The 26,515-nt window shown below is 43.3% G+C and overlaps 1 long non-coding RNA gene across 1 annotated transcript, besides 1 other annotated feature; it reads left to right on the top strand.

Annotated features, from left to right (window-relative positions):
* The first annotated feature begins 374 nt into the window (after nt 1-374).
* Nucleotides 375-26,515, top strand: LOC105372898 (uncharacterized). The gene is made up of 7 exons (XR_922535.3): nt 375-447; nt 1,864-1,985; nt 2,505-2,595; nt 11,919-12,046; nt 14,614-17,018; nt 17,900-18,131; nt 25,940-26,515. It is a non-coding gene; the product is annotated as an uncharacterized LOC105372898 (long non-coding RNA).
* Nucleotides 583-783: a silencer, noted in NCBI's record as "peak673 fragment used in MPRA reporter construct". NCBI's record gives its function as "represses an SCP1 promoter by STARR-seq MPRAs in K562 erythroleukemia cells {active_cell/tissue: K562}" and the evidence as "EXISTENCE:reporter gene assay evidence [ECO:0000049][PMID:32103011]".

The raw sequence follows: 26,515 nt of genomic DNA, 5'->3' as shown, positions 1-26,515 counted from the left end.
AGAAAGAATTCTTCCTTGCCTCTTTCTAGCTTCTGGGGTTTGCTGGCATTCTTTGGTATTCCTTGGCTTACAGCTGCATTACTCAATTTCTGTCGCCTTCAGACAACTGTCTTCTCTCCATGCTTATCTGTGTGTCTCTAAATCTTCATCTCCTTATAAGGACACCAATTATTGGATTTAGGGCATACTCTAATGCAGTATTTCATCTTAAATTGACTGCATCTGCAAAGACCCTACTTCCAAATCAGGTTGTGTTCATTGGCCCTAGGGCATTAGGACTTGAACATATATTTTTAGGGGACACAATTCAGTCCCCTACAATGTGCTTGACTTTTTCTTATTAATTTGTAATAGCTTTATGCTTCACCTTTTAGATCCACTGACTCACACCTGCCTCTCTGCTTGTCCAGAGAGGTACAGAGAAGTAATGACTTGGACTTGAGGAAGGTAGGTTCTTTTGGTTAACCACAGTGTGAGTCATGAGTATTGTGGGTCTTAGGAGTTCCTGCATTAACCCTTTATTTCTGGAGAAGATAAGTGGTGGTGGGAGGGAGAGAGGAGGGCATTGTTTCTGGTGCTCTATGAGTGGCTGTTGGCAGATCTACCACTAACAGGTCAGTTTGGTAGGTGGACAATGATTGGGATAGGAGAGAGACTGAGCCAGCAGTGATAGTCTCTGAATCATAAATTGGTAAATGAATGACCCCTGAGGCTGGGTAGGAGTCATCCAGCTCTATCAGGACTTTCTGGGTTTATTTGAGATTGTTTTGCTAATAGTGGTTTCTTAAAAGCATCATGCATTTTCTTTCCTGCTTCTTAAGCACTCAGACATTTCAATGGCAGCTTAGCCCTGAACTTACAGGTTTCTTGCACTTGAATGGATCATGTTCATAGTAAGAAGCAGAATGATTGGAAGCTAAGAAGACTCTCTGCTGTCCTTGACCTCTGCAAGTTGCTTTCTGAGATGGGTAGCAGAATAAAGAAGAATTGGCTCAAATTTCCAGTTTGGTTAAGCTGAAGCAGTAGTCTAGTGGGGAGTTTCATTAGGGGCCCAGATCCAGATCCTTCTCTTCAGCACCGTTGCCTCTGAAGAACAGCTCTGCAGAGTGAAGAGCAATATGGGGTTCCTGAGAGTTCTAGGGTCTCTATAAGTGGGAAAGGCCTTGTTCCAAGGTGACAAGGGGCCAGTGTGTCAGGTAGTCTGCTCTCTAGTGGGCCTGGGGCAAGAACAAGTGTGGGCAGCTCAACCTGTATCTTTCACTTGGGTGGCAAGTGGCATCAGGGCTGGAGGAGAGAGTTGGGATGGAGGATGGTGTCCCATGTCTACCACTGCCAGCTCCTGCTCAGAAAAGAATGTCAGCATCAGATTCAAGTGACTTCCTGAAGCTGAAAGCCTACTATGACAAAAGCGTTGGAATAGAAAACTCCTAAATTTAGGAGAAAATATAGGCCTGGATTTGAACCCCAGTTCTGCAATTTACTAGCTGAGTATCATGAGTTAATTTTCTTAATCTCTTTACATTTCAATTCTGTTTTGTAAAAGTAAGACAGTATTTTGGTAAACTGTTTATAGAATAAAATTAAGTAATGTATGAGGAAAAATGCATCATAGGGTCTTGCAGATAATAGGTACTAAATAAATAGTAGTTTATTTCTTTCTTCTAGTGTCTTTTTATTCTATATAATATGAATTGAGCAATACCACTGAATGTTTTTCTCCCAAATCATTCCTCCATCCAGCTAGTTGAAGTTTTATAATTCCACGTCTCATTTCTTTGTTAAGATATTCTCCCTTAAATATGCTTTTGAAAAGTTACTGCTGTTTTTGGCTGATCAGAAATCAATATATCTCTGACCTACTAGGCCCTTGTAGGACATGTGAATGCCAGTGCTCATGGAGAAAGGTGGAGGAAGAGAGCCAGAGTGCAGTTCACCTCTGGGAGAGCAGACCAGAGTGGCTTCCGTGGGCACATGCTGGATTGAAGGTGAGAGACACAGGAAGTGTGGCACACGGGAGAGCCTGGGCCACACTTCATTCTCCCTCAGCAAATGTCAGTCACAGGCTGTCTAATCTCCCTTCTATGAAAGTGGAGATGTGGGCATCCTGAGGACTTGGGTAGAGTGTGAAGGTAAGGCCATTACCCACCTACAGGTGAGGAATATGGGACTGAGAAAGTCATCTAGGTGAGCAGTTGCATTCCAAATCCAGGCAGGCTATGGAAACAAGGCTTCAGTTTGGAGAGGCTAGTCAGAAAGGGAGAATCTAAGTGAGGGACAGCATTCAGGAAAGCCGGAGGTTCAAAGCCAGGATAAGCCATGGGGCCTGGGCTCTGCCCTGAGATGGTGGCTGCAGAGATGTTTTCTAGAGTGCCTGCAGCCCTGGGCAGGAGCAAGGATGGTTGGATGGAGTGTAATAGGGTTTTTTTCCCTGCAATCCAAAACCTGCCAGGAGTCCCCCACTCCCTGATTGGTTCTAACCACTCTTCTTGTCTCTTACCTAATAGTGAGAAGACGTGACTACTAAAGTTGAGGCCCCAAGTCTCAGCTTCTTCCCCCTCCAAAGCATGAGTGGAGGATTCACTTAAGGCCACTTTGGTAAGTCTAGATCAACTCTTCTCAAAACTACTTCATTCCTTTGGAATAAAATCTTGAGTTTAGACTTTCCCAATACTCCTCATGGTATTGCAGTGGCCAGGAACCGTATTCTGTACTTAGGACAGCTGAGACACTCTGGCATCAAGACCTAGCTCCCAGGAGCATTGGCCCCTCAAAAATCAGTCTTTTGAAGGATAAGGCATTTTCATCACCAGGGGGAATGAAAGACCACAAGGACTCCCTTGATCTTCCTCCCAGGGGGTTCATAATTCCATAGGCTAAGACTCTGAATTATGTGTTTTGGGGGAACATTGTGCTCTGTGTGATTGAATGTGTGATTCATTTGACACTGAGAATAAAACCAGGTTGAATAATAAGAAAATATAAGCCTCAGAAGATTTGAAGTAAAGCCTTGAAATCATTGTCGAATCATAAATTAACACCCATAACAAGAGTAAAAATTTACCCTGAATTTAGGACACTCTGTTTTTATTTTTTTCAACTGAGTTTAAATGCTTTCCATAAATCCCAGATATTTGGGGGCTGTAAAGATGATTAAACACCTAAAATGTAGTTCCCTTGGACATAAGAAGAAAAATATTAAGCACTTTCTTAAACAAAGTCCGTAAGTGAGGACTGAGTTATGGTTTCTTTGAATAGTGAGGCTATGCCTTCCCTACTGAGGTCAAAAGGAAATGAAGAGAAAGGAAATCAACTGGAAAATGACTCTCAAGCTTGAATCATTATTTTCTTCTTCCATCAGGCACCTGCTATTGGTTTTTATAAGTAATAGTAAAGTGATTAAAAACATACTGAAACCTTGACACAGAATCTGGGGGAGGGGGCCTGAGCAAAAGAGTCCTTGCTCCTTCATAATCCTGCCTCCTTGGTATCCCTGTCCCTCATTTTCATCCATCTTTTGAGCATGACTCATGCCCTAATGCTGCCCTGATGCTAAAGCATTTATATGGTGATTTGTCTTTCAAGAGAGTTTGTGCCTAGCCTTGCAAACAAACTACCAGCCCATCTCACAAACACTGAACTATGCCATCCCCAGTGCCCAGAAAAAATGTACTGATGTTTCTCCCACTTGCTATAAATGAGTGCTTGCCTCTTGATATCTTTAGTCATAGTCAAGTGGTCAAGTCAATTAACACTGAGCACCACTTCTCAGATCCTACCATTTGATGTGTGAGGTAGGGGAGTGGCAGGCTAGCCAGTGCACCCCCAGAGACTGGGGACATAGGCTGCTTATTCATAGGCTCTGCTATCTCCATTTTTTAAAGATAATAACTTACCCAAGGTACCAGGTTAGTAAATGGCAGATTTGAGCCCAGGTCTCTTTAAGAGAAGAGGAACGTAAGAAGTTACAGAGAGGATAATGGGGACATCTAGATGAATTCTGAAGAAGGCTCACCATCTCCCGGGTTTCTTGACACCCTTCTGGTGTGCACTTGCTTAAGTGAGCTGTATTTATTTGATGTATCCGAATGGATGGCCACCATATATATACTTAGCATGATTCTGGGCACTGTGGCATTAGAAAGGGCCAGCCAGACTTCACTTCTACAGCCTCTGCCACTGCAAACTTGAGTGAAAGCGGAGCAAAGTTGGAGTCTTGAAATATTGGGAACCAGAGAACCTGCCACAGAGCTCAGCACAGGAGAGAGAGGGAGTCAATTCTCAAGCCTGGAGAAATCCCCTGGGGTGATGAGGTGGAGCAGGAGGACCAGAGAAGCTGCTGAGGATTTGAGCAGAGTCAGCCTCCGAGACAGTTCTTTTGTGTCTGTCTCGAAGGCTCCACTCTGTAATTTTGATGATTTTCCTGTCCATGAGCTCAGTCTCTCTAATGCTGGTTACCTAATGAAAATCCCATTCTGGTGCCTTGGGACCCCTACTCTGCCTCTTCCTGGATCCACAAAACTGGTGGATTATGCCCTAGTCCATTACTTTGCATCTAGCTGATAGTGGACATTCCTTGGATTGTGACTGCTTGTTGGTATTTACCAACAGCTACCTGGATTCTTTGTGCTCTGTCCTTTGCACTTCCTTTCTCCTACCAGTGGGTCTTCCTCCAGCAACTGTGACCTGAGTCATGTTGGAGGTGATGACAGCCTTTAATACTGTACCTCAGCTTCACCCTGGAGGGAGATGCCTGAAGACTCTGCCTCCACAGGCAGGTCAATGTCCTCAGCCCCCTCTCCCACTCCAATGTGACATCCTTGAGCAGATCCTTGATCTGTTTCTCTTTTCACCTCCATGATTCTTCAAGGAAAGTCTAAAATCAAGATTTAGTTCTAAGAGAGTCTGCAATATTGCTAGATAAGCAAGAAGTACAAGCAAAAAATAAAAATAAAAAACAGCATTCCAAAGTAGGACACAGTCCAGTGCTAAGCTGTGTAATATGGCATGTGGTAGAAAATCTGAGAAGGGAAAGTAGCACAGGGCACTGGAATCAGGAACGGCTTCATGGAGGAGGTGAAACATGGGTTGGGCTTTGAGGATGGAGAGGTCAGTCTTCCATTTCCCCACTCTGGTTATAAGTGCTGTGTGCTCCCTCGGGAGAAGGGGGGTCCTTATGTATGTGGGCATCAAGGTCCCCAGTTTTTGGAGGATATGTGAGTGCCAGCAAAGGGGACCAGGAGGATAAGAAGGTCACACTCCCCTCTAGATGGTCATCAAGAGCTATTAGTTATGAAAGCTATTATTGACCAACAGATATTAAATCTTGGCTGCTTGTCCATATGGGTAATGATCATAATAGAATCTACTCTCCTGCCAAATGGATACAGATAAAATCTTGGAGAATAAAAAAAGACTTAGCTTTCTTGAGAGGGAACTCTCATTGAAATGGCATCTATGAAGAGCAAATGCCCTATTCTTAAGTAAGGCTGCAGGGAAGCTAAGGGTATGAGTGGAACACAGGATGGGGAGGTGGGAAATTAAGGCAGGAAGGGGACTGGAGTCAAGTCTGGTACTGAAGCAGTAATACAGGGCTTTTGAACCAGAGGTTTGTATAACAGATACATGTGGAACTTTGGTGAATTGCATACGTCAGCTCCATTTTTATCCCAAGATTCTAATACAGGAGGTCTGGGTGAAGTGGAACCTCCAGCTGGAACATAAGAGGATGTGGTTGTACTTACTCACATCCCCTGCCCACCTGAACCCTGGGAAGTGCTGACTGAATGAATGACAACCACATTGACAATGAACAGGACTTGGAAACCTGGTGGGGCAGTGATTCTCAAAGTGTGGTCTGTAAACCACCTGCATCTCAATCACCTTGGACCTAAGGAATGGAATCTCCAAGAGAAGGAAACTAGGAATCTGCCTTTTCAACAAACACAACAGGACAGCAGATACTTAGACACTTACATACTAAGGTTTGAGAACCACAAGAGAAACAGTAAGTACAGAAGCCCACCAAGCTCATACAAGCAGTAAGTGTTAGAGCTGGGATTAAAACCCAGGTCTGACTGACTTTCCAGGATGTAAAGGAAATCCATCCTTTTGCTATTATGTCAAGCTGCCTCTAAGAGCAGGTAACAGGAGGAATTTCAGGCTGGCTGTTGCTCAGGCAGGGGCGACTACAGGAAGATCAAATCTGGAGGTAGACAAAGAGGACCTCACCACAAAAACTGCTGGGCTGAGGCAAGACCCACACTTCAGAGGGATTGAATGGGGATGTTAATTAATACCTTTGTTCTTAAGAATCAGCAGGGTTCCAGGAAGAAGGGCAAGACCCCGGAGCTGGGTCAGAGGTACAAGGTAGGAACCTAGTTCCTAGTTCCTAGAAATAAGAAATGTCTTAGGAATCAATGTGGATCCTCAGAGTGGATTCAGAAGCCAGAGATTCCTTAAGTTCTCTCTGGCTAGGGTCAGGACTGATCCCCAAATCTGGTAAGTACTCTTAGTGAGGTAGACATTCAGTCCTGGGTAGGAAGCTGTGCTATCCTATAGTTGTAAATACTGGTTGCCCATTATCAATTTGAAGGGTACTGAGAAGGCCTGTGATTATACTCATAGGGCAAAAGCTCCCACCCAGAGTTCTAGTCTTTCTGTTGCCTTTAACATAGTGATCTTAGAGAGATTCTCTTCTTCACATGCTGACCCTAGGGCTGAAACTCAGCCTCTAACTCCTGGTCTTATTCCTGGGACAAATATTTATTTATTTCTCTTGGCTCTTCTGCATCTGATCTCCTTCTGATATTTGGAGAATTCTTGACCCTGCAAGTCTCACTGAAATGTGGATCTGGACTCTGTTAACAAATATCAGAAACTCAATTTTCCAGTCTTCTGAAGCTAGGGTGGGGAAAATGATGTGGACTTAACAAGTTAGATAATCAGAGAGAGCAATCTGAACTTTATTTGGGAGTGAGTGTCCAAGGGCAGCAGAGGTAGGCTCAGCATCACAGCTGGTGGAGTTCTCATGGTGGTCATCACATTCTGGAGTCCAGCAGTGGCTGCGGAGGAGTCCTTGCTGTCGTTTCCGTGGAATGAACTTTGCTCTGTGTCTGGCTGCATAGCCCCTCTGCCTCCTGGCAATTCTGTAAATGACCCAACATCCTTCTAGTTAATTACTTTGCTACTAAACAAGTCAGAAATGTATTAAGTTTCCCTTAGGAAAACATAAGCCCCTCTAGGTTTTTCAATGGAGAGAATTGGATATCAGGAATTGGATTGGTGGATGATGGGGAAGCTGAAAAGCCAAACAATGGTGAAGAAACCTAAAGATGAACAGTTGCAGAATGTTGTTAATTACAAAGGACTGGAGTCATAGTGGGAGGAGGAGGCTGAAGCTAACCAATGTGAGCTTCAATCATGCCTTGTCTAGTGGAGATGAAGCTTACCTGATGCAATGTAGTCAGAGGCATGGCCTGAGGCAAAGCAAGGAAGAAATAACTACCCTGACCTCCCTCCCCGTCTTTCCCCAGGCTGCCACCAGTGCACCATTGGCAGAAACATTGGCAGAGTCCAGCTGGCAAGAGGGCCTCGTCATCCCTGCAAGACATAGCAGAGCAAGGGAAAGGTGGGGAACCGATGGCAAATGACAAGCCCACAGTTAGTCTCTGCAGCTTTCAAATAAGAATATTGCTGGTCAGATGCTAAAAGAGGACATCACCACAAGAATATATTAGAGACAAAAAATTTACAGGCTGGGTATTTCTCAGGTCAAGTAATATTCTGTCTAGCAAGAGAACTATGGGTACATAGCGCAATCATAGATTTTACTTAGTTCTGCTTAAAACTCGTGTCTGTTTTGGTTTGTTTATTTCACTGTATTTCATACCCTTGGGCTGTCTGGCCTTCTCTTTTAACCTAGAACCCTGAGGAGGGGAGGCAGGTCAGTAATAACCACCTCCCTCTGCAAACTTCCACATCTCCAGTCCTTTCCAGAATTCTTTTACCACCTTGACCTGAGGTTTTTATTCTGCCCACGGGTTAGGGTGCCATAGTTGATTGTGAGAATGATCTAAGGGAGTCTTAAGTCATCAGGTCATCAGGGAGGTGCTAGACACCTGGCAGAGGAGAGATCCAGAGTTAGAAGAGGCCCCAAACACCTGCAGCCCTGTGGGGGCGATGGGAAAGCCTGCCTTCAGGTGAAAGAATCCATTCCTTTATAGTTTGTGACCCTGAGCACTCAGCCCCTACACTTCCTTTTTCTTGCTTTGCTCTTGCTTTGAATTAAAATTAGGAACTGAGCTTTTTTTCATCTTGATACCTTCAGTACTTAACATAGACCACTGTAACCGTGGTGACAAAAAAAAAAAAAACTATGAATGAGTAAATAAGAGAAACAACGAATGAATAACAGCTGCTATGACAATTAAGGCATATGCTCCATTGTGTGGCCATGTGAGATAAATGTCTCCTAACTCACTGCTCTTTCTGTGGCTGTCCCTGGAGATGGGCTTGCGCACCTCACTGCCTTTCCTGCTGTGGGAGGTGAGAGGACTGGGGAGCCCAGAAGCCCAGAAGATGCTCCTGCCAGTAGAGGGCTCTTCCTCTCACTGCTCCGAAGGGATGGCACAGCGGCTGAGCACGATGCTATGGTGGTGTCTGCCCACCTCTGTCCTTTCACCCACATCTCCCCCGTCACACTACTGGCCAGGTCAGGCTGGCATGGGAAATTTCCCTTAGGAGACCTGCAAGCTTGTGGCTTTCTCTTTTTAAATGGTGGTTTCTATGATAGGGAAGGAGTGGGGACTATTATCCTAAAGCCAAACTCACTAAATTTTCAATATGGCAAAAGAAAATAAAGCAAGGGGAGACTTAGCACATCTTAGCTTATAAATTCTGGCTGTCCTATGTGACTTTCTGTTCTGAGTGAATGCGTGATTTTTCCAATGACAAAGAGGGTTCTAGAGCCCCGTAACTTGGAAATGGCTTGGTCTTGGTCTATATTGATGGATATCTTTCTACCTCCACCTATTTCTCCATGAAAACCTCCCCCTTACACACACACACACACACACACACACACACTGCACACTGGTGTTCTGCCAGCCCCAAGGCCTCCTTCCTACTGCTAATTTATGATTCCTCCTTCCTGGTGTCAGTTTTGGCTGATACTAAAGTGGCTAGCACCTCTTTGGAGATCTTTGGAAAACTCCAGTGAGTTGGAAAAGACCAGGACATGGAATCTGTAGAATAACGCTGGATGACATCTGGTTGGATGAAAAATGGGGACAGTCTGACCCTAAGCAGCTTGCCAGAAGCTAGGAACAGCTGCTTCTCAAGGGGGAAGTGTCATCATCGCATCTCCTGAGTGGCCCATTTTCTGCTCTATAGGAGGTAAATAAACATAACACCACCTGAAAATTGGCCTTTTGAAAAAAAGACTTTTTTTTGAAAAACCATCACGGAGGTTCTAACGTTGAAAACTGGAAGCCCCTGGAGCCAGAGTCATGGGAGGAAGTAGGAATGTGAGGGCCAACGGACTAACTGGTCTCTCTTACTGGGGCCATCTATTAACCCCAAAGAGGATGTCTACTTCAGTTTCTACAGTAACAGCTTTAGGGCTGCCCAGTGGGCATCTAGTGGGAGAGAAGGTGCATATTTGGGGGAAATTCTTTAAACACCAAGTTGTTGTGTGTCTCCCACATGGTGTGTGCAGGGGTCTGTGTATCTGTGCTTCACTAGCATCCTTCTCTTTCTCTTCCTTTCTCATCTTTTCACTCTGTCTTTCCACTTCTGTCTCCTCTGGTCTCTGTCTCACTCTCTACTTTGTCTGTCTTCTGTCTCATAGTCTCCCTCTTCACCTAGTTTTCTTTCTCAGGTTTTCATTCTTCCTCCTCAGCTTGGCTCTCATTTTCTTATTGTGCTGGGTTGAATAGTGTTCCCCCAAAATTTGTGTCCTACCTGGAGCCTCAGAATGTGGTTCTATTTGGAAATTGGGTCATTGCAAATGACCTATTTAATTGGTTATTTAATTATTCAATTGGTTATTTAATTAATGGCCATCTCAGTTAAGATGAGGTCATTCTGGTACAGGTGCACCATGAATCCAATATGATGGTATCCTCATAAGGAGAGGAGAAGAGACACAAAAACAGACACACCCTGGCAGATCACTGTGTGACTACGGAAACAAGAGACTGAAGCAATGTGTCTACAAGCCAAGGAACACCATGAATTGCTGGCAATAACCCAAAACTACAAAGAGTCAAGGAAGGAATCTTCCCTAGCACCTTCAGAGAGAACATGACCCTGCTGACATCTTGATTTTGGATCTCTAGCTCCCAGAACAGTGAGATAATATGTTCTTTTAAGCCACCAATTTGTGGTACCCTAGGAAACAAATGAATTTATCACTAAGTTCATGCATACTTCTTCTCCCTATGCATAGCACGCCCCCCACACACCCCACCCCCCCCACTGCCTTTTTTCAGATTCAAACCATTGATCTCACCCATTGCATTTCTGGCATCAGGTGTCAGCTGGCTCATTTTCTTTGAGGCAAAGTTCATATCCACTGGATTCACACCTCAGTTGCCACATGGGCTGCTTCTCTGCTCAGAAATGCCAGGAGTTTTTAAATAGTTCATAAAAGGGACCCCCTTTTGACCTGACCCTCCCAGGTAAGTATGCTGTCTTTGAGGACCACAGAAAGGTTCAAGAATCTGGGTTTTCAGTCTCCACATAGCTCTGGGCAAGTCTCTTAACCTCCCTGAATTCTTTCAATGGCTTCATCAATTAAAAAAAAGGCAACTGCTTTAGTCTTTCCTGCCTCTGGAGAATGTTGTTAGTGTGAAAAGACCTTCAAAAGTACAACAAAGAATGCTGTGCACATTTATAGTCCTTTATTATTCAGACTTAGGAGGCTGGGATGAAATAAATATTTATGGAACCCAGAAGGTGACATGGAATTTTATGGATATTATGACGTTGGATCCTTAAAGCAACCTACCAAATAAGTGATTCCCATTTTAAGTGAGGAGAAAATTGACTTGAAGCAAAGAAACATCACTTTCATAAGAAACAGTGAAGATTCTAATTAAACCCAGATTTCCTGACGTCCAATTTAGAGATTACTACATTACACTGTGACCCTCTCATTTGTTGATTTATTATTTTTTATGGCACACTTCCTTCCCATCTTGAAATATTTCTCTGACCCTTCAGAAGAAGCCACAGACTCAATAGAGTCTGGTCCCCTGTGTAAGGAGAGGTTTAATTTTCAAGTACAAATATTAACAACAGGCCCATAGAGGAAACATTTTGGAGGAACAATCGATGTTGGCAGACAGGAGCCTATCAGGAGGTAAAGGATTTGTAAAAGTGAAGTTTAAGGCAAACCTTTGAAGGGGAGATGAGAAATGCTGCCTTCAGAAAGGAGGAAGGGTCAAATTCAAGGTCCACAGTGGGCTAGAGAGTGTGTGAATCTCCGCCTGAGCTCTGCAGCGGGGAGAGTTTGAAGATGTAGAATTCTGTCTGCATAGCATGCATTATGTCTTTATGTGATATGTATGCGTCAGAGAAGAGAATTTCTTTTCTGTCACAGGCATCGTCTAAAAATGCACACACTTGAGAAATCACCACTCTCTCTCCTTTCTCATTTCTCCACTTTCTGCACATCTTCCTACTTGCTGAGCCTTTCCTCTCATTCCAGAGGGACAGAAGCACCAGCACCTTCTTTAGGAGCTGTTTATCTGGCATCCGCCTCTCTGCTGAGAGAGCAGACCCCTCTTCTTCCCTTCTTTAAGCCCCAATTGTATCTTCCATCCTCCCACTCTGAGTGTGATTAGAGTGAAGAAAATCTCATAAAAAGGAAACTCAAATGTCAGGTAATTACAGCCCATAATTTGTTTATCTTTCAGAAGCCCATATTGGAGGAGCATTACTCACTCTGAGGATCCTGGCATAGGCAGATGCATCACTTGTATTGAAGTATATTATCTGCTGTGATATTTATGATGAAATGAGTTTGCCAGCCATCGTCTATCAGGTCACAAACTCTTACTCAGCCTTGAAAAATGGCTTTTAATACACTCTTGTTGCAAGATTGGGGTGGATGTACAATTTGTGACTTTCCTACCTCTGCTGTTCCCGGGAACAGGGTGTACAGGGCTGTGTACAGGGTGAACGGGGCGGGGAGCTGTGTTCCTTTGCCTTATTCACAACCTCCACCCTTGGTGCAGTGAGAACATGAGTTCCTTAAGGACAGTCCATGTCTTACTCATTTTGTGTCCTCTTTGTACAGGGTCTGGCACATGTTTGATGTCAACAAATGTATGTTGAAACAAAATGAATTGATTCACATGTGAGGAGATTTAGCTTCTGAGACCAAGACCCCATAAATTCCTGGAGGAAAAGTAAAAGACATACTTAACATCACCTGAGATCACTTATTAGCTCACTTATTCAATCATGCATTTGCACATTCGTACAACAAATGCTTATCAAAAACTATTGTGTGGAAGGCACAGTGCTAATTGCTAAGTGGGCTAAAAAGATAAAGTAAAATATGGCTTCTGGTCAGGTGTGATGGCTTACACCTGTAATCCCAGCACTTTTGGGAGGCTGAGGTGGGAGGATCGCTTGAGCTCATGGGTTTGACACCAGCCTGGGCAACATGGCAAGACCTTGTCTCTACTAAATTTTTTTTAAATGAAAAATTAACCAGCTGTGGTGGTGCACCTATAGTCGCAGCTACTTGGGAGGCTGAGTTGGGAGGATCCCTTGAATCCAGGAGGTCAAGGCTGTAGTGAGCTATGATCATGCCACTGCACTCCATCCTGGATAACAGAACAAGACCCTGTCTCAAACAAAAAACAAAACAAAAAAACATAACTTGTACCTTAAAGGAGCATATGATCTAGTACTAAGGGTAAGAGAGAAATGAATGGTACAGGGAAGAAAATGAGGCCATAAAAATGCTTTGAATGCTCTGAGGATGAACAGATTTCTTCTAGCTGGAGACATGGGCAGGAGTGGATATTTGAATAGAATTACAATGGATGGTATATTAATTGTTTTTTTGCAAATAAATTAAAGTGAGTCTAGCTTTTGTAACAAAAGGTGTTCACAGGCAGCAGACTCTACTATCTCACAGAACCCATGAAAAAACTCAACAAGTAAGTCTCAGGTAGGGGTGAGAAGCAAAGATCTTCAGGGACCCTGTGGTGGAATCTGTGGCCCTTCCCCAGAGAGTTCCCCTGTCAATGTAATTCAGTGCCAAACATTCTTTGTTTCTCTGATGAAACATTCAGTTTCCAGGTGATCTAATGTGATTAATCAAGCAGAGTGTCAGGACTCCAGTCTGTAAACTCATTAGCTATGGCCAGGGGAACTGTCCCCAGAAACATGGCTGCTAAGACCCCTCTTTGTGCAGTGGAAGCAGTTCCCAAGAACAAGGGCTGAGCAGCCTCTCTGGCTGGGGGCACCTACATGTGGGTAAGATTTGGAGGTGTGTGGACATGATCACGAAGGACATTGCAGATGTGGGGAAGCGCAGGGCTGAAAGCCTCCCACCAGGACTCTCTGCCTGGCTCCATCTGTTCTCCCCAGGCTCAGGCATGGTCATTTGTTCCCCCAGCTCTCTTCTTGATGGGCTCAGGTATGAGTTTGTGTGTGTGTTTGCACCTGGGAGCGTGTGTGTTTGCACCTGGGAGCATGTATGTGAATGCAAGTGTGAGCACTTGTGTTTGGTTACTTTTGAGTGTATGTGCAAGTCTGAGCACGTGTATGAGTACATCTGAGTATGTGCGTGTGCCAGTGTGTGTGTGTGTATGTCCAGTGTGAGTGTAATATGTGCAGTGTGAGTGTGTGTGTGTGATTATGTCCTGTGTGTGTGTGAGAGTGTGATTATGTCCTCTGTGTGTGTGTGTGTGAGTGTGATTATGTCCTCTGTGTGTATGTGTGAGTGTGATTATGTCCTCTGTGTGTGTGTATTTGTGTGTTGAGTGTGATTATGTGTGTGCTGTTCTGGGTTCTACTTTGGGCTGGGTAGCAGGGTGGGGAGAGGATGATAAAACAGCACAAACTTTCTCACTGCCAGAATGGGTTTCTTCTTAGCATAGCTTTTATGGACTACTATGTAAAAAGAGTTTCTGGTTCTTCACCTGAGAAAATTACTAAAATTACTAAATGCTCTCTGGTGTTAATCTGCCTTCCATAGGTACTGGCCCAGACAATGGAGTAGAGCAGGGAATAGAAATATCCATTCTGCAACACAACAGTTTCTTCATGTCCAAGCCTAGTAATTTCTTTCCTGAAGGAGGAGTTCATTTCATCCTCTTGAACCTTGTCTGTTTGTTCCTTGCTATGCTACTCCCCAGGATGAACACAGCCACCGCCCCCTCTCTTCTAAACCACCTCTTTTCCACACAGAATGATTCTGGTTCTGTCCATTTGTTGTGGGCTCCTTTCTCAGCTCCTAAATGCACGGGCTGCTTGCTGGCAGGCTTTTTCTGTTCCTCTGCTTCATCTTGCTCACTCCTGTATGTGCCCACCAAAATCCCAAGGAATCAACAACAGCTTTAAAAAGTGGGCTTTGTTTCCTTCTCTCTGCAGGGGATCAAACATAGGCACCTGCCTGTCCAAGGGGGTCTAAGTCACAGTACAGAAGTGGTTTGCAAAGGCTGGTGGGATGGTGTGGCAGGCCTGTGGAGTTGAATAAAAATCCTGATGTCCTTCCTGGCATGAAGAATGGAGCTGCCAAGCTGCCCCCAGGAGAAGCGTGCTGCCTATGCATCTCACTGGACTTCTGTGTACAGAAGAAATATTGGTGGTTTGACCAAACGCTCGGGCTCCCCACGACTCCCGTTGTTATATGGGAAAGAACAAGGTCTGGCCCACCTCTCTAAACCTTTATAAAGGAGCCAGCTGGTGCCTGCCACTTTGTTGCCCACTGGAGAAGACTGGCTGCATGCATGTCATGCACCATATCCCAGCAGCAAAGGCCCTGATTTTTTTTTTTTATCAGCTGTAGTTCATTTGTAAATTATTAACCTCTCAAGAGCCAATATTTGCTCAGGGCCTTCCAGTCCATCTCAAGTGTCGATACTGTGCTTGGGAGATTGCGGGGGAGGATGGTGCAGGGAGCTCGGTCTGACACGCTGTTGTTGGGGAGGAAAATGCTCTTTGTCTAGCAAGAGAGGAGGATCTGACTCAGCAGCAGTAGAACCTCAGGCCAGCCCTTTTCCCACCTGGGGCTGAGGAGACTCAGCCATGTGAGAGTCCACATAGAAGCAGGGGTCCTCAGTGCTCTCTAACCACATTGAGAGTCTACTCTGCCCCAAACCACTCCACTATGCCAGGCTGAGGCTTTTTAGGCCAATATATATCTAAGGATAAAATGAAGGGAGTTCTGGATGATGCATTAAGAACACTCCTGAGACATTAGAGCCTTGCTTTGGATTTGAAGAGGGGAACTTTACTTGTCACCCTGGGTGAAGTCAATTCCTCTGTGAATCTCCCCAGTGAGACTGTGGGTACCTTAGGAGAAGAGACAGTGACTTATTCATCTCAGAATCCTCAGACTAGAATAAGGCCTGGGATTTATCAGGCATTCAGTAAATTCTTGCTGAATGAGCAATTAACTTGAGGTCTTCAGGGTTCCTGGGACCAAAGAGTTGGCCTTTATAAAAGCACATTCGTAATTCAATCTGTACAAGTAGTACAATTCAGTATGGTATGTTACAAGTCAGTTATTGAATATTACACATTGCCACAATGATCTGTCAGTAATAAAGACACAGTCCAGAAAATATTCTCTCTCGTAGGTCACAACAGTTGACCAGTTGACTCCAATGATCTCATTAAATAGCTTGAGGTTGAAAATAACCTAGTGTTTCTCTTACCCAATACACTATTTGCTGATTGAACAACATAAAGTTTCCAAAAGTGGAAAGGGCATTATGAGGAAAGGTATTAAAATAAAGCTATCATCTTAACTTTTAATAAAACTGTGTACAATACTGAAGATACTTTATAGCAAGATGAAAAAATTAGAGTCCTTGGTGTTGTGCAGATGAATTCTAGTCCCAGCATTATTCCATAATATGTACCTTGGGCAAATTAACAACTCTGAGACTCAGTTTTCTCATCTTTAAAATGGGGATACTCTATCTACCTCTTAAAGTTATTGTGAGGACTGAATGAGTTAATACTTGGAGAGGACTCAGAGCAGGGCATAGTTAAGGACTCAGTAAGAGCTAACTTTACTAACATCGCTACCATCACAAATAATAAGTAAGAAAACGTACCTTGAGGATCTTGCATAGTACCTGGCATAAAATAGGCTCTTAAGAGATGAAAGCCAATTAGTACTAGTAATTAGAGTTTAAAATGATAAGATTTTAAGGCATGTAGAAAACAAGAATATCTTGTGTTTCTGGCAACCAAAGTTATTCTATTCCAGGCCATGGGGATCTCCTATTTCTCCAGAAATATGGAGGCTACAAGAGAGAACTAACATTTATTGGGCACTTACATTGTACTAGTTACTGTGCTAGGGGCTTTAAAAACAGTTTTTCCATTTAAGCAAATAATCCTAATATTTTAGATAATTTACCTGAAACCCACCGAGATGACGTATTTCTCCAATGGTTACATTAGCTAATACTGGTAGGACTAAGATTTCAACCCAGATATGTTTGGACTCTATAGCCTGTATGCTTTCCACTTTTCAGAAACTTATAAACAAAACAGAGCAAAAACTTTCTGGAACTCTCTGGAGCCCTTGGCTGTTCTCTGGACCTTCCTTTGCTGTGTCTTGGGGCAGGCACATCTTGGCTTAGGCTGAGCTTTTCTATTTGCCAAAAGAGTCATCTCAGAGGGCACAGCCTGGAGTGCAGCTCAACAAACATATGTGTAACAGCCGAGTGCCACCACGTTAAGAACTGGACTTACAAGATGGATAGGACCTGGTGGCAGCTGTCCTTGAGGAAGCCAGAGCCTGGAGAGACAGATCTCATGTAATTACTTAATCCCCATGAAATGGTGGGAGGTAAAGGGCAGGAATGTGCACAGGGGGCTGCAGGAGCACAGAGGAGGACACTAGGGGAGTCTGGACTTTGAAGGAAGATTTCCTGGAAGAGAAGATGCCAGAACTGAGTGTTGAAAGTTTAGTAAGAGCCAGCTGAAGAAAAGTGAGAGGAGGGTTCAGGAGAGGGGAGAGCAGGAGCAAAGACACAGAGATGAGAGATAGCATATAGTGTCATGGAACTCCAGGCCATTCAGATTTATCAAAGTGGAAAGTGCAATGCAGAAGTGAGTAGACAGAGATCAAGCAGAAGGGGCAGGCAAGGCCAGGGCTCAGAAGTCCTTATATGCATGTCTGGGAGTTTGAACCTTATCCTGAACATGCTGGCAGAGGAGTGATAGGTAGGAAGCTTGGAGTTGAGGTGAGCAAGGCTGGAGGTAAGGGGTTATGGGTGGCTATTGTCCAGGGGAAAAGATGATGAAGGCAGTGATAATGGAAATAGGGCAGAATGCAGAGATGCAGGAAATGTTAGGAGGCTAAGCCTTCAGGATTTGCTGGTTAATTGGGTGTGGGAGAGAGGGAAAGAGAGGTTCAAGAATGATTTCCAAGAATTTTGCCTTAGACAACTAGGATTGATGGTGCAATTAACAGAATGTTAAGAGGAGAAGAAAGCTTACGAGAAATGTAAAGCATCAATTGTTGTACTTATTGAATCTGGGGTGCTTGTAGGACACCTGAGTGAGATTGGAAGTGCAGGGGGCAGTGTACCCTGAGGCTAAAACTAACAGCCACATCCAAGCTCAGAAATTAGCAATGACTATGAATGTCTCTTCTTAACACTACCTGCCTCACTTTCTTACTCTCTATTTACAGGTTATAGCAGAGTACCAATATTCTGCAGAAAACCAAAACCTCACCTGCATTCCTACTCCTATCATGATGTTCTGCCCCCCGGGACCCTTGTTTATGCTGGTCTCTCCTTTTGAAAGAACGTTACCCTTTTCTTCACCCAGCAAATTCTTACTCAGACTTCAAGACTCAGTTCAGAGTCTGGGGATGAATATTCTACAAATGGCCCCCAGGATTGTCATGGTCCTCACGGCAGGTACACAAGCTAGTTTTCTTATTGATACATAATAGATGTACATATTTTGGGGGTACATGTGATAATTTGATACATTCATATAATCAATTCTGAGCAATTGGGTTATCCATCACCTTAAATATTTATCTTTCCTTTTTGCTAGGAACATTCAAATTTTGAAACATTCTAGCTGTTTTTTTTTCTTTTTGAGACAGAGTCTCTGTCACCCAGGCTGGACTCCCCTCTACCCAGGTGCAAGCAATCCTCCTGCCTCAGCCCTCCAAGTAGCTGCAACTAGAGGCGTGCACCACCATGTGGACTAATTTTTGTATTTGTTAAAGAGACGGGTTTTTGCCATGTTGCCCAGGCTGATCTCAAACTCCTGGGCTCAAGCAATCTGCCTGCCTTGGTTTTCAAAAATGTTGGAATTACAGGCATAAGCCACCGCACCCGGCGCACATTCTAGCTATTTTGAAATGTACAATAGATTAATATTAATGATAGTCACCCTGCTGATCCATTGAACACCATATCTTATTTCTTCTATATAATTATATATTTGTATTCATTAATCAGCTTCTCTTCATTCCCCCTTCCCTCCACTCTCCCAGCCTCCAGCAACTACCAGTCTGCTCTTTATCTTTATGGCATCTACTTTTTAAGCTCCCACATATAAGTGAGAAGATGCAATATTTGTCTCTGTGCTTGGCTTATTTCACTTAACCTAATGACCTCCAGTTCCATGCACATTGCTACAAATGACAGGATTTCATTATTTTTTATGGCTGAGTAATATTCTATTGTGTACATATACATTTTCTTTCTCTATTCATCTGTTGGACACTTAGGTTGATTCCATATTTAGGCTATTGTGAATAGTGCTGCAATACACGTTAAGTGTGCAGATATCTCTTTGATATGTTGATTTCCTTTCTTTTGAATATATACCCAGTAGTGGAATTGCTGAATCATATGTTAGTTCTAATTTTAGTATTTTGAGGAACTTCCATACTGTTTTCCATAATGGCTGTACTGATTTATGTACCAACAGTGACAAGCTAGTTTTAAAAAATAACCCAGGGTTACATTAGCAGATGCTTTGTGCATCATTTCTTCTTTAAATTCTTCTTCTGGGAACTGAAGTTTCTCACACTGCAAGCCCGAGTAGTGGCTGCAAATCAAGAAATTTCTCTTCTAATGGGGTTGTGCATCGAGTACCCCCATGCTACCTGGGCACTGGGGTTTCTCAGCCACTCCACTGAAATTTGCATTGGCTTATTGAAAGTCAATCACAAGTCAAAACCACAGACTCACATAGGAGAACACTGTTGTTTGGGCCCAGCAGCTCTGAAATCAATACCTTTAATGGTAGAACCTAAAACTAAAATAAATAGGAAGGAAGGAAGGAGAAAGAAAGAAAGAGAAAGAAGAAAGAAAGAGAAAGGGAGAGAGAGAAAAAAGAAAGAAAGAAGAAAGAAAGGAAGGAAGAAAGAAAGAAGAAAGAAAGAAAGAAAGAATAGAGGAGGAGGGAGAAAAAAGGCAAGAAAGAAAAACAAGGGAAGATTTGTTGACTTTCCAGTATGTACCAGACTGCATAAAAAGCTGTTGCTCTGTAGATTCATTCAACTTCCACTTATAAAGCACCTACTCTGTTCCAGACACACTAGGCACTGGGGATACAGAGATGAATATGCACTATGCTTACCATCTAGGGGGGCAGAAAAATACCTAATGAAGGCACAACAGTATGAGTACTATGGACAAAAAGGGGAGAATAATTTTCTCTGGTATGGGAGAAACGTGGGTTAGGGATGATATCATAGAGGCCTAGTAGGAGTTTCTAAGCAGAGATGGGGTGGAAAAATATCTTAAACAGAGATTAGCAGGAACAAAGGCATGGAGCATGCATGCCAATGTATTTGGGGATTATTGAGTACTTTGGCACAAAGTGGCTCCTATTTTCCAACGCTCAATAGACCAGTTCCCTGAATATTTACTTTCTTCATTTGCTTTTAATAATTAAGTACCAAAAAAAGTGGCTTTGATTGTCAGCTTCACTCTCGGGGTTAATTAGATATTTCCAAATAACTTGCCAAATACTTGCTTTGATCCCAAGTTTGGCTCCTCCTTTCTTTCCCTTTCCCTAAACACTGATTTCTCTGGAGAGCTCTTGTTGGAGAATTGACTGGAGCTAATTATTCCAGATAATTAAGATCGCTAAGCAGAGCAATTTAATTTTTTCTATTTCTTTCTTTCTTGTTTTTTTTTTTGAGAAATGTTAATGTCTGCATAACACACCATCAATAAAACTCCTTTTAAAAGGTTAAGCTGGCTGAGTGCAATATTGAATTGAGAATGACTAGGATCAAATGAAATCCAGTAAAGATATTTAGCAGAGTAATGAAGTTTATTCTGGAACAAATGGCTTTTCCTTATCAGAATTTGCTTTTATTTGATGCAGTGCTGAAATAGGGAAGAACGAAGTCAGGCCAAGCCAATTGCATTAAAAGAAGTTTTTCAGTGACTTTCCATTTACATTCTGTACCTGCCTTTCACTGTCCTCTGCCCCTTCTCCTCTCCCTCCTAAGCACAAGGGTCTTATAATATGCTCTGACTTCCCCCTTCCCTTTATCTCCTCTAAATGTAGGCTGCTCTAAACATGCAATTCTCTCAAGTGTCCTGTGAGTAACAAATAGGTGACACATATGTCAGAACCCATATAACAACTTTTGGAAGAAAGGTTCGAATATACAGTATTGAAAAAAACAACTTGAATTAGTTGCCAACATTTAAACATTTGGAGACTCCAAATACATGTCCAGATTTCCAACTTCTAAAAGCCTGGCATTCCTACCTAATAGTAATTGACTGAAATAGACCAGGAGCTGTCCCCTTTAGGTCAGGTCTGTGGACTCCAGCTTGCCAATACCCTACCCAGCCTTCTTCACTCATTATCTTACCTGCTCAGCCCCACAGAAAAGCAGCCCCTGATGGGAGCTACTCTTTCCACTTTCTCCCTCTTCTATTATACCCAAACTAGCATTTTCTCTTTTCTTGGACAGATTTAAATTTTGTGATGAGAAAACAATCTGATTTAAAAAATTCATTTACTGAGACTAATGATGGATAGTCTGTTTAATCCCACCAGGAGTGTTGCATTTTCAAATTATCTCACTTGAATCTCCAACTGTTAACATTTTGGGCCATGTGCCAAAAAATAAGAAAAAGAGGTGAGGAATATAGGTAGTATAGGAGGAGTGTTGTTGGTTAGCCAGACTTCCCTGGCTTATCTCCAAGTACTTTGATGGTTATAGCGTCCTTTAATGGAAAACATGGGCTTTGTACTCAAACAGATCTGCGTTCACACGTGTACCATCACTTATATCTCTGATGACCTTCTCAGGGTTTCTGAGCCTGTTTCCACATCTGGAAAATATACTTGAAGGGGCTCTGCTGAGCTGGCATATGTAAAGTGTTTGAAACAGTAGTTGCCCAAGAAGTGTTGGTCTCTTCACTGCCACTTTACTTCCACATGGGTTCTGGGGATGGATATTCCGAGTGGTGTCTGGATGACTACAAGGTCATGCCTGACTTTTTAGTTAAAAGTATTTATATCCAAAGTAAGTGTCAGATAATATAGTCACTATTAAAAGAGCACATGCTTAAATTAGTTGATTTGGTGATGTACATAAGAACCATAGTCCTAGCTAGGTACTGGAGAAAACATAATTCACTCACTCATTCATTGTTTTTTCAGTATATTCATTTATTCAACAAACTTTTATTGGGTGCTGTGTTCACCAGCTTTCACTAAGTTATGTTGTGATAAGTACAACCCCAAAACCCAGTGGCTTATAACCAAATACTTATTTCTTGTTCATATTGCATGCTCATTGCCAGTCAGCTGTCGTTCTACTCCTGTTCCAAGCTGTTTCCTGGCATCTGGGATCTAGGATGGAGGAGCAACCTTATCTGAGACATGCCATTCTCATGGCAGAGGGACGAAAGGAGCTAGTAAAATCATGGAATGCCTCTTGAAGTGTCTTTGTGGAACGGGAACACTGTCACTTTCATTCACATTTTATTGGCCAAGACAAGTACATAATTATGCTTGTCGTCAATGGGCAAGGTACCCTTCCTTTAGGAAGGCACTGCAAGTCACAAGCAATGGGTAGGAAAGGTTAATAATCATGCAGGGGAGAGGGAAGACAGGTGTTCAGGAACATTATTATCTTAGTCTGTTTTATGTTGCCATAATAGAATACCTGATACTGGATACTTTATAAAGAAAAGAAGTTTATTTAGCTCACAGTTCTGCAGGCTGGGAAGTTCAAGGACATGGTGCTGGCTTCTGAAAAGGTCTTTCTTGTTGTGTCATAACATGGTGGAAGGTCGTGGGAAGTGGGCATGTATGAAGGAGCCTAATATGAAGGGCATCCATGCTTTATAACAATCCATTCTTGCAGGAACTAATCCATTCCCCCAAGAGCTAATCTAGTCTTATGAGAGTGAGAACTCACTCACTGTTTTAAGAATGGCATCAAGACCCATGAGGTGCAGCCCCTGTGACTTAAACACCTTTCATTAGACCCCATCTCCCAGTATGGCCACATTAGCAACTAAACTTCAATATGAGTTTTGGTGGGGACAAACCATGTCCAAACCATAACATTCCACCCCATAGCATTCCACCCCTGGCCAACTCCCATCCCCTGACCAAAACTCATGTCCTTCTTACAGGTAAAATACAATCATTCCCTCTTAGTGGTCCCAAAAGTCTTAATTTGTTCTAGCACCAGTGTAAAAGTCCAAAGATCAAAGTCTTATCTGAGCCTCAAGGCAAGTTCCTTTTAGTTCTGAGTTCATAAAATAAAAAACAAGTTATTTACTTCCAAGACACAATGGTGGAACAGGCATAGGGTAGATATTCCCATTACAAAATGGAGAAATACACCAAAAGATGAAAGACGTAACAGGTTCCAAGCAAAAATAAAACCCTTCGGGGTAAACATTAAATCTTAACCCTCTGGAATGATCTCCTTTGACTCCATGTCCCACATTCTGGGCACACTAGTGTGAGTGGTGAGCTCTCAAGGCCTTGCACAGCACTGTTCTCATGGCTTTGCTGGGCATATCCTACTTGGTTGCTCTCATAAGTTGGAGTCAAATGCCTGTGGCTTTTTTGAGCTGACGTTGCATGTTCCAGTGGCTCTACAATTCTGGGGGTCCCAGTGGCAGCCCTGCCCTTGTATCTCCACTAGGCATTGCCCTGGTGGGGACTCGCTGTGGCAGCTCCAACTCTACATTTCCTCTTGTCATTGCCCTAGTAGAGGCTCTCTGCAGCGCTCCTCCCCTGTGACAAGTCTTTGCTTGGGCCCACAGGCTTTTCCATATATCCTTTGGAATCTTGGTGGAGGAAGACATACTTCATAGCTCTCACATTCCGCAGGCCTAAAGAGTTAACACCACATGATTCCAAGGCTTACTGCTTGCACCCTCTGGAGTGGCCACATGAGTCTCTTTTTCTCACCTGGGGTCACTTGAGCCATTGCAGTAGTATCCTGAGGGGAGCTAGCATCCCGAGGCAGCACAGGGCAGCAGTGCCCCAGACCTGTCCCCTGAAACCATTCTGTCTTCCTAGGCTTCTGGGTCTGTAATGGGAAGGGTGCCCTCAAAAACCTTAAACATGCCTTTGAAGCCTTTTCCCCATTGTTTTGACTATAAGCACCTGATTCCCTTTTAGCCATGCTAATCTCTTTAGTAAGTGTTGCTCCACCAAACTCTTAATGTCTCTCTTGAAAAATGTTTTTTTTAATTCTCTGCCACATGGCCAGGCTGTGAATTTTCCAGATCTTTCTACTTTGCTTCCCTTTTTTCCTAGCAGTTCACTGTAAGCAGTTAGAAGTAAACATGCAGCAGCCTGAGTGCTTTGCTGCTTAGAAATTCCTTCCACAGATATGCTATATTATTGCTCTTAAGTTTGGCCTTCCACAAAACCCTAGGGCATGGACAAAATATAGCCACGTTCTTTGCAACCATATAACAAGGCTGACCATTGCTCCAGTTTCCAGATCAATATCCTCATTTCCATCTGAGACCTCATCAGAATGGCCTTTATGGTCCATTTTCTATCAGCATTTTGGTCATGACTGCTTAACTGATCTCTAAGAAGTTCCAATCTTTCCCTCATCTTTTTGTCTTCTTCTGAGCCCTCACCAGAATCACACTTAATGTTTAAGTCATAGCAATACAGGCTTTTGCTGGTCTGCTCCTCCAAACTTTTTCAACTCTTGCCTCTTAACCATTTCCAAGCTGCTTCTATACTTTCAGGTTTCTTTATAGCGATATCCCACTCCTGGCACCAATTTTCTATCTTAGTCTGTTTTGTGCTGCTATAACAGAATACTTGAGACTGGGCAATTTATAAACAAAGAAGGTTTATTTATCTCATGGTTCTGCAGGCTGAGAAGTTCAGGGGCATGGCACTAGCTTCTGGTGAGGACTTTGGTGCTTTGTTATAACACGGTGGAAGGTCAAAGGGGAAGTAAACACAGGAAGGGGCCAAACATGAAGTGTGTTCTCACTTTATAACAACCACTCTTGTGAGAACTAATCCATTTCTGCTACAACTAACCCTGTGTCTTGAGAAGAACTCACTACAGCAAAAACAGCACCAAGGCACCTGTGAGGGTGAAACTCCTATGACCCAAACACCTCCCATCAGGCCTCACCTCCAACACTGCCTCACTGGCAGTCAAACTTAATGAGTTTTGGTGAGGACAAACCACATACAAACCATAGCAACTATCTAAGTGATGGGCATAAAGGGAAGGATAAGATGTGGACCTTTCCCTCAAATAACTCATAGCTTAAAGAAGAAGATGGATATGCTGATGATTATGGTGAAATTATTAATGGCCATAGTAGCTCACAATGGGCATTGGGCTAAGTAATTTACATGTATTAAACAGTTTAATCTTCACACAACTCTGTGAAGTAGGAACTATTATTATCTCCATCCCATTTTATAAATGAGGAACAGAGACACCCAGCCATCAAGAAAGATCACAGCCAAGATCAGACAAGCAATAAGTAGCAGAGAATAGACTTGAATCTGGGTTATCTGGCTCAGGAATCTGTTTGCTTGGTCACAGCAAATAGTAGAGTGTCACAGAGTGCTCCAGATGCACAGGCTAGAGGTGGGGAAGTGGTGACAGGAGATGATCCTTAAGGGTAGAGGAGAATTTAGCAGGTGACAGAAAAGTCACTCCTGCTGGAGAGGCAGGAAGGAGCAGAGGCTGAGGTGTGAGCAGTGTCCGGAGTGACACCAGGAGCAATTTGGTGCTGGAAAAGCCTGAGGTACGAGGCTATAGAGTGGTAGAGAGGCCAGCTCATGGGGGACTCACCTTAGGGAGCTACTTAGGGTGAATTTAGGAGTATGGGAGTGGACACAGAGAGAATAGTGTGAGGCCATTGTAATATGCTCCTCTGTCCCTTTCACCAAAGGGAATTTCTTATTAGGAAATCCATTTTTATATTTGCGTAATCATTTTTATTCCTGCATACATGTGCCTGTCTCTCTGGACAGTGGTGCTGGCTGTGGGGTTTGGGCTGGTGCACCCTGAGTTGATAAAAGAGACGACCAGTCTGGGCAGGCTGCAGTATTTTCTACTGGATTTCACAGGTCTGCAGAAACACTGAGCATTTTTGTTTTCCCTAAGAAACAGAATGTTGGCAGCTTTATTTTTCTCAAGGGTATAGCACTGAATGTTATTTATTGTTCTGACTCTGAATTTCGTGCTGTCTTTTTTTCTGTTTCCTGCTGACAGGTGATTTGCTCTTGAACAATTAACAGAGTGAAGGCTGTGTTCCATCTCCTCACAGTCTCCCGCTGGGCATCCTTGGGAGCACAGGAGGAGAAAGGCTTTCTTCTTGATCCTATTACTGCTGCCCAGCATCAAGAAGGATTAATTAACCCACCAGGTTTTGCTTCATTACGAGGAAAAAAGAAAAGCCAGTGACAGTGGAATTCAAACATTGAACAGGCAAAGGAATCAGTGCTCAAGCACCTTATGAACATTTCGAAGACTTAGCTGGGCGGTGTGGCGCAATGTAAAGTAGGGTGACTTGGTGCAAGTTACACACCCCTGCAGCCCTGTTTCTTCATCCTCAGAGTTCACACTTCAATTCTACAAATTGATGGCCTATTCTGAGCTAAGCCCCGCCCACTCTGAACTAAGCCCCGCCTACTTTGATTCCCTACTCTGAGCTAAGGAACAGTCTTTCATCCCCATGAAAGCTTTCTGTCTAGAAGGAACTAAAGAGCATAATTATACTTATTTTCCAGTGCTGTTGTTAGAATTAATTAAATGTGGTATAGCATGTGAAAGTACTCTGTAACTAAA

The sequence above is a fragment of the Homo sapiens genome, chromosome 1, assembly GCF_000001405.40.
Source record: "Homo sapiens chromosome 1, GRCh38.p14 Primary Assembly".
In the NCBI taxonomy this organism is placed as follows: Eukaryota; Metazoa; Chordata; class Mammalia; order Primates; family Hominidae; genus Homo; species Homo sapiens.
This window is presented reverse-complemented; position numbering and strand designations above follow the sequence as displayed.